Genomic DNA, 13,394 nt, shown 5'->3' on the forward strand with positions numbered 1-13,394 from the left:
CTGTCACCCAGGCTGGAGTGCAATGGTGCAATCTTGGCTCACTGCAAACTCCGCCTCCCGGGTTCAAGCAATTCTCATGCCTCAGCTTCCCGAGTAGCTGGGATTACAGGTGACCACCACCATGCCCGGCTAATTTTTGTATTTTTAGTAGAGACGGGGTTTCCCCATGTTGGCCAGGCTGGTCTCGAACTCCTGACCTCAGGTGATCTGTCCGCCTTGGCCTCCAAAAGTGCTAGGATTACAGGCATGAGCCACTGCGCCAGGCCGAGAAGGCGGAACTTAAGATACGCCAGGTGCTAGGCAGAAAAGTTTGCTGACAGCTTGAGCACTGAGGCACTGAGAGTCAGCACAGATGAGTTACAGATGAGGACAGAGAGGGCAGGTGACATCCACAAACCCTAGTGAGCAGGAAGGAGTAAATGATGTGCCCAGGCTCTTCTTCCTAGAGTGTACTACCTGGAAGGAAAAGAAAAGTGGCAGTGAACCCCAGGAGAGCAGAAATCTGTTGGGCTTCTCTAAACTTCAGGCACAAGAATCCCTAGTCAGAATGACCTAGGAAAAAGAAAAAGCCACACTGGAGTAGCATCTGTCCTCACAGTGCCCGGGAGAAGCTCCTAAATGGGGGTGGCAGGTGGTTGGCCCCTGACCCAGCTGGACACTGCCCCGTTGTCCACTTGAGCATGAGAGAAAAGCATACCCCAGCATGTGAGGAATAAATGAGATGCATAGAAAGTAGCACAGTGCCTGGCACAAAGAAAGTGCTCAATAAATAGTGAGGTTTACAAAACTCCCATGACAGATAAAGGCAAACTGTGAGCACAGGGTTTAAGGAGGAAGGCTGTAAGTCAAGAGCATGGGTAACGATCACTGATTCCTTGGCACTCACTCACAGGGATGCTGCTTCTTCAGAGGGAGTGGGGCCCAGGGACCTGCAAGTCCAGAACCTTCCAGGTGACTCCTGGGAGGTGAGGGCTCCAAATACCTAGCTTTAAGGAAACCCTGCTGTAAATCACCTTGGGTACAGGGCATGGCTGAAACAGAAAACCTGAATTGGGAAGCCATAAGAAATGGATGGCAGCTAGAGAGTGGATTAATAGACATTGGAGCCTCAGGAAAGTGGGAAGGTGGGAGGGGAGTGGATGGTGAGAAATTACCTATTGGGTACAATGTATACTATTCGGGTGTTGGGTGCACTAGAAGCCTAAACTTCACCAAGTATCCACACTATATCACTCATATAAAGCTCTTGGCAAGAGGCATAACACACAGTAAGCACTCGATACATGTTCACTGTTATTGGTATTACTCTCCCTTCTGCACAAGAAGGCTGTCCTCCCCGTGGTGGTAATGACCTGTGTTCCCTGCTCTTCATCAGTTTCCCTAAAGTAGGGGATGAGATGTTCTGCAGTTACCCACAATATATCCATGTAACACAACTGCACTTGTACCTCCTACATCTATAAAAATAATAAATAATAAAAAGAAATGGATGGTAGGACAGGGCAAGTGTGGTGAAGAAAAAGCAATTTGAATGATATCTAGAGAGAATCGTGACCACAGATGAAGGTATTTTTCTTCTAATAAACACCTCTAAGATGTGAGTCTCCAATGAGGCCTCTAGCAATTTTTGGACAGTTCAAACCCCAGCTCTGCAATTAACTAGCTGTGAGGCCTGGGGCACATGGAGTCCTTTCTTGGAGCCTCCGTTTACTCCCCTAAGGAGTAAGGGGTTGAACTAGACTTGAAGTCTAGGGTTATTTTTAGCTCAGGCATTCTTGGATTCTATTATTTCCTGAGATGATCTTTCAAAGTTCCCAGTTCATCCTAGAGTAGCCAGATTTTGCAGAGGCTCACTATAAGCCCTCCCTGAGTGGGCCAATGGTGGCCCAGCCTTCACAGCAAGACTTTCAGAAGCCTGTCAATATTGCAGAAAACTGTCTTACTTTCAGATTGTTTAGAAACCAAAGCTATATTTCCCATTTAAAAAATGCACAGGCCGGGTGTGGTGGCTCACACCTGTAATCCCAGCACCCTGGGAGGCCGAGGCAGGTGGATTAACTGAGGTCAGGAGTTCGAGATCAGCCTGGCCGACATGGTGAAACCCCATCTCTACTAAAAATACAAAACTTAGCCGGGTGTGGTGGCATGCGGCTGTAATCCCAGCTATTCAGGAGGCTGAGGCAGGAGAATTGCTTGAACCCGGGAGGTAGAGATTGCAGTGAGCTGAGATTGCGCCACTGCACTCCAGCCTGAGCGACGACAGAACAAGACTCTTTCTTAAAAAAAAAAAAAAAAAAAAAAGCACAGGTTGCAGATTTAACTAAAAATTCCCTACTCATTATTTCCTCCACTTCTAAAGAGAACTACCTCATCCCAAAGAGTTTCCTCCTTCCTCTAACTCTGAAGAAGCAAACAGAAGCCATTTCTGTATAAAATAAGTCTCAGGATCATTGATGTTTGGCTTCTGGGGCCACAAGGACAAAAGAAACAAACATTCTTCACGTGTGAAGTTAAAATTATGTCCTTCAAAAATAGGGCATGGCTGGGCATGGTGGCACATGCCTGTAGTCCCAGCTACTGGAGATGCTAAGGCAAGAGGATCACCTGAGCCCAGGAGTTCAAGGCCAGCCTGGACAACACAGCAAGACCCCATTTTTAAAAAGGGTTTTGGAGGTTTAGTGGGGATATTCCCCCTCCTCTTTCCGTTAACAGGTTTCTGGATACCCCTCCAACTATCACAAATGAACAGTGAACTAATGCAGAAACCTTTGTTAATATGCTTGATGGCAAACTCTAGAGAGGAAGCTTTCCCTGATCTACTGGGTTCTAGTGCAAATCTGAGGAGGCAGACGCGCCCGTGCTCCCAGGACCCTTTCCTTTCTCCCATGGGCTCAGAAGACTCTCCCTTTGACTTACTTCACTCTCCATTTTCCCAGGACAGTTGGGCTTATGGAAAGGGAAGATCTAAATGCAGTAAGGAAGAAGTACCATGATCCTTAGTTCATAGGATGGGCTAGTTAGTACTTAGCTCATGAAGTTCACAGGCCAGGAAATAAGAAATAAAGACCTTGTTAATGTAAAAATGCAACATGACTTTATCGACCTTCTGTAGCAATATTTTTCTGAAATACACTGCCTCCTGTGCTGTTGCTCTTTTCTTACTCATATCTGGACTTTCCCAGGTCCATATCTCTTCTTTTCCTGTTCTCTTGTTTCTATTTCTCATTTTGAACATCTCCCTTATATGTTATAGTAGATAACTGAATTACATTGTTCTAAGTTTTTGTGTTTGTAGCAAGAAATATGGTTCAAAATGTTCAAATTAGATGGGTAAAATATTTTGTTTCTACTTTTAGAAGTTCAAGCAAGTTGATTTAACAATATGGGGCCCTTTGTTAATTTTTTCCCCTGGGGCCTTGGCCTCATTAGATGAAACTCTCCCTCTTCCTATCAGGCTGGGGAATTTTTGAGGACCAGAACCTCAGACTAATGCAGATCTTGACAAGCTGAGTGGCCTAAGGTAAGTCATATAATCCCTTCATGCCTCAGTTTCCTGATTTATAAAATGAACATGATAATAGAAGGGTCTGGGGACAGAAGTTAGGAGATGAAGGAAGTAGGTGGAATGAAAGAAGTATGAACATCATAAGTCATCTTTGTGTAGTGCTCTTGACTCTCTGATCCAGTAGTTTCTAAGCAGATATGCTTTTGTCACAGAAAGAGAAATCTGGCACATTGACCTTCTGAGTAGGAAGCATAACATAATTGTGAAAGGGTTAGGCTATGACGCTGGACAAATCTAGGTTTGAATCCTAGCTCTTGTCAATTACTAGGTGTGTGATCTTGGGCAAGACACTGAACTGCTGAAAACCTAAATTTCCTTAGCTGATAAGTGGGGCTTAGTACTTTCATCATAGGCTAACTGTGAAGATTCATTCATTTAATAATTGTTCATTGAGCTCCTGATATGTGCTAAGAAGAGCCCAGAGCAGTGCTCAATAAAGAGAAGGGCCCTGCTCTCACAGACAGCTTGGTGAACTAACTCACTGTGTTTGTCCATTTTGAATTGCTACAAGGGAATTGAGGCTGGGTAATTTAAAAAGAAAAGACTTTGATTCGGCTTATCATTCTGCAGCCTGTACAAGACTACCAGCATCTGCTTCTGGTGAGGACCTCAGGAAGCTTCTAATCATGGCAGAAGTGGAGCTGGTTTGTGGAGATTACATGGTGAAAGAAAGGAAGGAGGTGGGCACAGTGCCTCACACCTGTAATCCCAGCACCTTGGGAGGCCGAGGTGGGTGAATCACCTGAGGTCAGGAGTTCAAGACCAGCCTGGCCAACATGGTGAAACCCCATCTCTACTAAAAATACAAAATTAACTGGGCGTGGTGGTGCATGCCTGTAATCCCAGCTACAGGAGGCTGAGGCAGGAGAATCACTTGAACCCAGGAGGCAGAGGTTGCAGTGAGCCGAGATCATGCCACTGCACTCCAGCCTGGGCAGCAAAGTGAGACTCCATCTCAAAAAAAAAAAAAAAAAAAAAAAGAGGAAAGAGAGGGGAGGAGGTGCCAGGCTCTTTTTAACAAACAGATCTCATGTGAAATAATAGAGTGAGAACTCACTCATTACCACTGGTAGGGCACCAAGCCATTCATGCGGGATCCATTCCCATGACCCACACACCTCCCACTAGGCTTCACCTTCAACACTGGGGATCAGGTTTCGACATGGGACTTGGAGGGGACAAGTATCTAAACTATATCACTCATATAAAGCTCTTGGCATGAGGCATAACACACAGTAAGCACTCAATACATGTTCACTATTATTGGTATTACTCTGTCTTCTCCACCAGAAGGTTTTCCTCCCCATGGTGCTAATGACCTGTGTTCCCTGCTCTTCATCAGTTTCCCAAAAGTGGGGGATGAGACTTTCTGCAGTTACCCATACTCTCTCCATCAGCCTCCCAGTAACCAGCAGGTTTGTCCAATGGTTACCTGCATTGGGGGCTGGGGCCCATGGGTGTGTGAGGGCAAAGCCAACTGGATCCAACCTGTGCCCTTGGCCCATTAGCCACCATTGGATCAATAGGCCACAGATACGGCTTGAGTTTCAATCCCAGACTCCTGGGAAACCAGCTGTCCCCAGAAAGCCTCTCTCTGGGTTCACAGAATGGAGTGACTTCTTTGAGGCAAGTATCAAGCCCAGGTGAGGCTGCTCAGGCTCCTCCTTAACTGTATTTGTGACCACCCAGGCCCTGTGCTTTTTATATTTCACCCGAGGCTATTCTTAAACAGTTCAGACTGCTCTTTTGGACACTGTAGTGGCACAGCAAGGAAAATCCTCCCCCTTTCCTCTTCTCCAGAAAGGACTAAATGGCTTTCCTATACCAACAGCAGAAACTTTCATTTCCTTTGGCTGTCCCAGAAGAACAGAAATGGGATCATGACTACCTAATTGGTTAATGGTCACTCTTTGTTTGTCAACATAAGGTGACAAGGGAACTCATATTTACTGAGGGCAACCTATGTGTGCCTGCCAGTTACCTAATTTAATCTTTGTGACAACACCATGAGGTAGGAATCATCTCCATTTTACAAATGAGAAAATTAAGGCTCAGAAAGGTTAAGGCATTCACCCATGGCCACATGGCTAGTAAGTAGCATTGTGAGGATTCAAACCCATATTTGACTCCAAAGCCCCATGCACTTTCTACTATATGGTACCAAAATATTTTCCACGTGTGTACATATGTATCTGTCAGTCCAGACACTCTGCCTAAGTGGCTGAACCGTTGGGAAGTATGGCCTTTGATGGCACACTATAAGCTGCTCTTCTTTCCACTTGGACCACATGACTTGCTCCTTCATTAGGAGCCTGGGAGGCAGGTTTGCCCATATAGTGCTCTGGCTTCCCAGCCCCAAATGCCAAGCTTCAATGCATCCTTAAAATGGTGCCTGGGCTGTCCTGCCATACACTGGTCAGGTGACCAACAGAGCAGGGCCTAACATCGTGAGGAACTCCCGGTTTCCTGCTGCTCTCTGGTACAACCTTCCCAATTCAGACACTTACATTCCAAATTTAAGACAGTTTTACCAAGGCAGGACTTTTGTACTGAATCTGGATGAAAGCACAGCTGTGTAATGTGCAAACTTTTGGCACAAACCTTATGCTTCCAGAGGGACTTGTACTCTTCAGAGCACAACCCAACAATGCTGTAGCATAGACAGCTAGGGGAGAAGCACTACTATGATTACCATTTTATTATTCCCACTTTACAGATGTGGCCAAAGAGGCATGGGGACATGACTAGAGGAATCCTGTGAGGGCTGAGAGTTGGAGCTCTGCCTCTGAAGTGGCCTTTAAATAGTATTCCAGGGGAGGTCTTCTTTTTAAGCCCTGCACAAGCCCCACTTACATGATGACAATTACTATAGTTATCACAAATCTCTAGCAATAATTGCTAACATCTCTCAAATTCTTACTGTGCTAGATACTGCTACATGTTTTATTTCTCATGCATAATTTAATTTGATACTCACCATCCTGAAAAGTAGGTACCATTGTTACTTCTTGTTTTACAGATGAGAAAACTGAGGCTCAGAAGGCCTAGATGACATACTCAAGACCATAAAGCTAGAAAGTGGTAGACTGTGGACATGAACCAAGGACTATGCTCCACTAGACCATAGTGCCTCTAACACTGAATCCAATAGGAAAGCCACTAGCCACATGTGGTTGTTTAATTTTAAATTACTTGCGATAAAATAAAATTAAATACTCAGTTCTTCAGTTATGCTAGCCACCCTGCAAGGGCTCAGTAGCCACACGTGGCTAGTGGCTATCTCATTGGACACCACAGATAGAGGTCATTTCCATTATCACAGAAACTTCGAGTGAACAGTGCTGGTCTAAACGCTCTTAAGGTGGGTCCTCCTCAGACTTCTACTTTGGGAAACTGTTATTAGTTTAAGGTAGAGTCTCATAATCTCGGCATGATTGACATTTGGGGCTGCAAAATTCTTTGGTAGGAGGTAGGGAGTGGCTCTTCCTGCTCATCCTTGGATGTTTAGCCGCGTCCCTGGGCCTCTAACCACTAGATGTCAGTAGCATACCTTGGCCCCGGTTTTGACAACCAAAAATGTCTCCAGACATTGCCCAATGTCCCCTGGGGAGCAAAATTATCCCCCACATGCCCCTGCCACCCTCCAGTTGAGGGTCAAGGTAAGTACTATACATGCATTTGAAGTAATAGCATGCAACAGGGGCCTGCAACCCCCAAGCCACAGACCACTACCAGTCTGTAGCCTGTTAGGAACCGGGCCACACAGCAGGAGGTGAGTGGCAGGTGAGGTGAGCACATCCAGCTGTTAAGAGAACAAGTACTTACCTTGACTCAGAAGTACTGGGTCAAGGCAGTACTATATATGCATTTGAAGTAATCAAATGGCAAGCCTTCACTAACTTAACTTGGCCTTCTGAAAGCAAGCCAATTCACTAAAACTAATTTCTTCTAGTGAATTATAAAGTTTATAGCAATTTGAATTGAATGGGCTGTTTTAATAGCTCTTGAAGATTTCATGAAAGAGTAAAACCGTTTAAAGCAGTAGAAGGAGAGTAAAGATGCCAAGAGGGATTACTATAATACATTGTAGGATTCATTCCTCAAATTTGCTATCCACTGACTATAACTATGGAATTGTGAAGGAAGCATAAGAAGCAGATTGGTTTAAAAAGCTAAAAGAATGCTAAAGTAGAAAATCATTAGGAAATGACAAGGGCAATCACATCGCATTTTACATTTTGGTTACTAATTTCCAGAAATAACACACAACAAAAAATTATGGTATATGAGAAACTGATGAAAGAATTCTAAAAATGCTAAAGTTGACACAACTGAAAATGCACTTTCAAAGGATTCAAAAGAAGCTAGTGCACAAAAAATAAGTATATGAGGTGATGGGTATGTTAGTTACCTTGATTTAATCATTCCACAATGTATACATATATCAAAACATCAGGTTGTACACCATAAATATACACAAATATTCCATTGTCAATCAAGAAAATACATAAATTTCTTTAAAGAAACAAATTTAAGCATTCCCATATAATATGCTGAAATTTTGGCTCCTGATGAAATAATATACTTTTCCAGATTGTTCATATATTCCCAAGGAAACCAAACCTCCCTACAACAAGTGGAACATCCCTTAGAATGCTGCTAAAGACCAAATGAAACCTGTCAACTACATCTTTAGAGACATCTCCAAAAGCTTTAAAACCATTTTCTCCTAAATGAATTTTTGCAAAGATTTAAATACTTTATGTTGTAAATAACTGAAAGAAAAAACTTTAGGTGAACTGGTAAATACGGCAAATAATTTATTCAAGAAATTGCCCAAGAGCCAGTTTCCCCCTAACTCCTTACAGAGGGTGAGGCTGGGGGCCTGGGAGAGTATCTCCTCCCTCTGACCCCTACACTGGTACCTGCCACTCCATTGGCACCCATCAATTCTCCTATCGCTCTCATGAATGAAAAGTGCAACTGAGTGAATGCAAGTTAGCAAAATGCGACACCCAGACTGAGCCCCTTGCCAGGAAATTAGAGTTAACAATCTTTCTTCTAAAACTAGGGGGAAAGAAAAAAAAAACAGGAAAGAAGGGAGGGAGAGAAGGAAGTGAAGTGCCACAGGGATCTCTAATGACCACATTAAACACGTCTAATTACAGTGAGGAGTGGAAGTTGGGTCTGATCTGGCAGGCTAAGCTGCAGCTACACATTTCTGGTGCTTTCAAATGGCCTAAATTTGCCTTCCCTAACTGGAAGGTGACATAGAGCCAAATTTCATGTTCATCATTGTTCTCTCCGTGCAGCTAGGTATGCCGCAAGGTCTCGGGTTCCGGAGAACTGGTTGCAGATGCTATGGGAAGATGGGTCCAGGTTGGTAGAGGACACTTCAGGGTTGGCTGTCCTCTAGCATCTGGATTCCAGGGGGCTGCTCAGGGCCAAGAAAGAATGCATGGATCCTCAGAATACCAGCAACTGGACCTCATTACAAGTCAATATTTGTGGCTTCTAATCTCAAATTGTAACCCACACTGCTTCCAGGGTCATCAGGGAAGTTTTGCAGCCAAGGGGAGCAGGCTGACACATAATTTACAATAGTAATTCCCTGGTCAGGTGTCAAGTACCTGTTGCAGAAGCTCTCAGCCTCACTTTCCTGAATCCTGTTCTTGGAGTAGGAGAAGCTGACTAGCATGATGTGAGGGGCCCACTATCCTGGCCAGATCCCCAAGATTACCAGCAATCACTGCAGTGCCACAAAAGCATCCAGGTCCTGTTGAAATACACATTATCAGGAGTTAATCATTAATGTCTACTAACCTATCATCACAGGTCAGTTGGCTAAGAGCTAGCCCTGGGCCACAAGATGGCAATGTGTTAGCCAAGAGGAAGTCCACGGCCTAGAAGGCCAGAGGCCTGGAGAAGACAGGCTTGGAGAGAAGGGCAAAGTTCAGGCCCAGAACGCCTGGGGTGGAAGGGGTACTGAAATCGGAAATGGGTTGTAACAGGAGAGACTGGGGTTGCTAAAAACAAAGTTGCCCTGGGCTAGGCACGGTGGTTCATGCCCGTAATCCCAGGCCAAGGTGAGAGGATCACTTGAGCCCAGGAGTTTGAGACCAGTCTGGGCAACATAGCAAGACCCTGTCTCTATAAAAAGATTTTTTTAAAATTAGCCAGGCCATGGTGGTAGACACCTGTAGTCCCATCTACTTGGGAGGCTGAGGCAGGAGGATCACTTGAGCCCAGGAGTTCAAGGCTGCAGGGAGCTATGATTGTTCCACTGCACTCCAGCCTGGGTGACAGAGTGAGAGACCCTGTTCAAAAACAACAACAACAAAAAGTTGCCTGAGCTCACCATTTTGCCTTAGGCTGAATTGACCTCTGCAGCAGTCCCAGAGAGAGGCCACAGTATCCCACAATGTATGCTTTTGGTCTACTACTCAGATGACAATCTTTCCTCTATCTGAGCTAGACAGCTCTGTGCTGGGAGTCAGGGTACTCAGGAGTCTAATCTTTGTATTGCCACTGACTGTATGACCCAAAGAGAATAGCTAAAAACCTCTGGGGCCCACTTTGTTTACTCTTAAAGTGAAGACATTGTCACCCACCCCACAATTACAGGGTCTTGTCAGATTTTAAAAGTTCTTTTGCTTTGCCTTCATCTCCTTCTATACTTGTGCAATATGGTATCACATAATTTAAGCCTACTGCTATTTTCTCCCTTCTTCCAAAAAGTGTATTCACCAATCTCTTGATAATTCTCCTGTAAACTGCTGTCCTTCTATCTCTATGAAAATAGTAACAGAACTTAATAACTAGTTATCTTGAACAAGATCTATATCTACAGTAACTAGTTTGGAATTTAAAAACCCAAACTGGGTTTTTAAACTAGAGACTCATTTGATTAGAGCAAAGTGCCAATGAGGCTCTTGGCATGGAGTCAAGGCCCACAAGAATATGGATGGCTGCTCTGAACATACCCATTTCCACCACTGGCCAGACATTTCAAACATCTCCACGATGAGAAATGTATATATTTATACATAAAATCTAGACTGCAATTGTATGTGGGAGAGGAGACTGTGAACCAATCCTGTGTTTCTGCCCAAATTTGAATTTCAAGGCCTATTGGGCTTCCTTGAGAAAGTGCAACCCTGCTGATTTGGCCAAGTTGTGATCCTATGAAACCTCCTTGTGTTGGGGGGAGGTGGGGGTGTTAGGGGGATGGAGGGTGCGAGAGTGCCCAAGGTTTACGGGGGAGCAGTGAGTGTTTGAGCCAGCACCATTTCCCTCCCAGTCTTCCTCTCCCACAACACCTGGAGCCTAGGAAAAAGCTCAAAGAAGAGGACCCGACAGTTCCTCCATGTGCTCGCTTCCAAGTGCTCCTACTCTCATTTACATTCTCTCCTACTGAGCTTATGTCCCCATCCTCTACCTCTTGCAAACTGCTGTTTACTGGCCTGGTCACCCCCTAAGAAGGCAAGCTCCTTAAGTGCATCTTCGTTCAGTCAACAAGATTCTTTCAACAAATACTTGTGCCAGACACTGTGCTTGCTTGGCTCCAGGAGGGGAAAGGAAAAGTTTCTCCCAGAGGGAGAAACTAGCTTTGTGCCGAATTGTCAGGGCCAAATGAACCCATGCAACGCTCAGTGATTGGAGACTTGCAATGAGTGAGGTGGGTTTCTGGCTGTGATTCCAAGTTGGAATAGTTAAGGGAAAAGAAGAGTGTTCACTCCATGATTGAAAATTGGCAATAATCATGTACACTCACATACCCACTAATTAACCATATGACTAAATCTATTTTGGTTAATATCTTCTTCCTTTTGGAATTGCTTGCAATACGTAAACATATGCACATACAACATCCAAAAACAACACTGTGGACACATAATAAGAATATACTGCTTGAATATAATACCCCATCAAGTAACTGGGAGACTGCATATTGTACAGCTTGGAATAAGTTTAGAAAATTAAGACAACTCGGAAAATTTAAGGTGATTCTTCTCTACTCATCCATGTTTCCCTCTCTCTTTCCATCCCTCTCTCGGCCTTCCTCTCGTCTCTCTTCCACTTCTTGGCCCCAGTCCCCCATCTCCCTTATCTCCCTACAAGATCATTTATTGTCAGTCATGCTAGCTGCTTGCTGGCTGCTTACTAGTGCCAAAACATCATGTTCTGATATAATTGAACCACATTATTTGACGGAATTATTGCTGTCAGTTATTTGAATGGTGTTACTAATCAATGAAATGAGCCTTGTAAAATCCAGGTTTGTGTGGTGCTTTACTTTGAGATGATGTTGGCTAGGTTTCTTGACACATAGAGAAGCTATAGCTTTGTCCAGTCTCTCTCCCTGGTCTGTCTGTTATATAAACATCACCCTTGTGCAGCTCTCCCTTCTCAGACTTGAGTCATTTCTTACAAACTCTGTCAAAGTCAAGGCTGTAGGAGTGCCACAAAGTACCCCTGCACCAAGTGGTAGGGAATCGCGGTGTGCAGGGCAGGAAGCCCCGGGAATAACTAGGTATTTCCAGGTCAGTCACTGCAGCTGGGCCAAGCTCCCCCTTGGTGCTTCCCTCCTTCTTGCCTTTGTAAGTCAACCAAAGACAACTGCAACAGCCTTGGGAATACGCTCGACTTCCAATCCTGGCCCCTCGGTCCCTGGGGCCCAGGTGAGCCAGGTAGGGGTGCCGGCCAGGAAGGAGAGAAGCGTGAAAGGCAGAGAAGCCTCGAGGCGTCCAGCCGGCCCTCATTTCCCCGCGTAGAGTTGACCTGTCTCTGTGTCCCCCGACCTGCCGAGTCCCAGAAGCTGGGTTGAGGACTCTCCCGCTGCTGAGCTTTCCCACTCACACGCACACGCACACCTGCGCGAGCTCTCCCAGGAGGGCACCGCCCCCAACCAGCGGGGTGCACAGGGGAATGATGTTGCAAGTTCGAGCCCAGAGGTGTCTCGCTGTCCCCCGCCCACCCCCGGGTCATTCCTCGCCGCCCGTTTTTGCGGCGAGAGCACCATTTGGGCGGTTAGGAGCCCCTGCAAGGCCGGCTGGCGTTCTGCCACCCTCCACTCTGTGGTGTCTAGGGGGAGTAGGTCGGCTGCGCCCGCCACTTACTCTGAAATCTTGAGGCAAGCATGAAAGCTAGCCATGGTGCTGCTGAGGGAGCCGCTGGCCGGTTACGTGCCTTGCCTGCTGGGGTGCATGGGAGCCCGCGCTGTGGGCATGCCCTTAGAGGCTGCCACGTGGGGGCAGCTCGGCACTTCAAGCGCCCACCCGCACGCAGCCCCAGACCCACAGGCCGAAGCAATAACCAGCCAGATAAAGTTTCTTCTCCAAGGCCTCTCGCTGTCTTCTGATCTCAGTCCAAAAAGGGCTGGGCTTGTTCCTTACATGGTTAGGAACTGTTAACTCCCCTTTTCCCTCTGTCTCCATCTTCCCGCCACAACAGCATCCTTAGAGCAAAATACCAGATGCTCTTTCTTAGCCTCTCTGTATCCCTGCAGAGCTGAGCGTGAGAAGTAATTTGGAGATGAAACCCTAAGGAAAGAGTAGAGGCTTTTATCCGAGCAGGAAAGGACACTCAAGGGCTTTGGGAAGGCGATGTAAATAAATCGCTTTCTGGCATTTTAGATGGTGTGGGATGGAGGGAGAGGGGAGCAGAGGGGAGAAGAGAGAGGTCAGGGAAGAAAGAAAATTTAAGTAGCAAGGCTGCAAGCATTCCCATCTAGATGTGAACACTGTTTTTGAGGTGTTCTAAGCTGTTCTTGTTCAGTCTTAAGGAAAACTATTTACTCCCTAAGCCAGTCTGGGGCCATGAACCAAAA

At 45.7% G+C, this 13,394-nt stretch overlaps 1 protein-coding gene across 3 annotated transcripts in view; it reads right to left on the reverse strand.

The window, feature by feature from the left end:
- KIAA1210 overlaps positions 1–12,878 on the reverse strand; it is a 72,496-nt gene extending 59,618 nt beyond the window's left edge. For 2 of the 3 annotated variants that reach the window (XM_017029689.3, XM_017029688.3), the window contains exon 1: positions 12,685–12,878. In XM_017029689.3, the coding sequence (XP_016885178.1) occupies positions 12,685–12,719 (35 nt within the window). In that variant the 5' untranslated portion in view covers positions 12,720–12,878. Of the gene's footprint in view, positions 1–9,220; positions 9,342–12,038; positions 12,328–12,684 lie in introns of those variants that run through there. The other variant, NM_020721.1, reaches the window with a different exon arrangement.
- Positions 12,879–13,394: the final 516 nt, after the last annotated feature.

Source organism: Homo sapiens, chromosome X (assembly GCF_000001405.40).
Source record: "Homo sapiens chromosome X, GRCh38.p14 Primary Assembly".
NCBI lineage: Eukaryota > Metazoa > Chordata > Mammalia > Primates > Hominidae > Homo > Homo sapiens.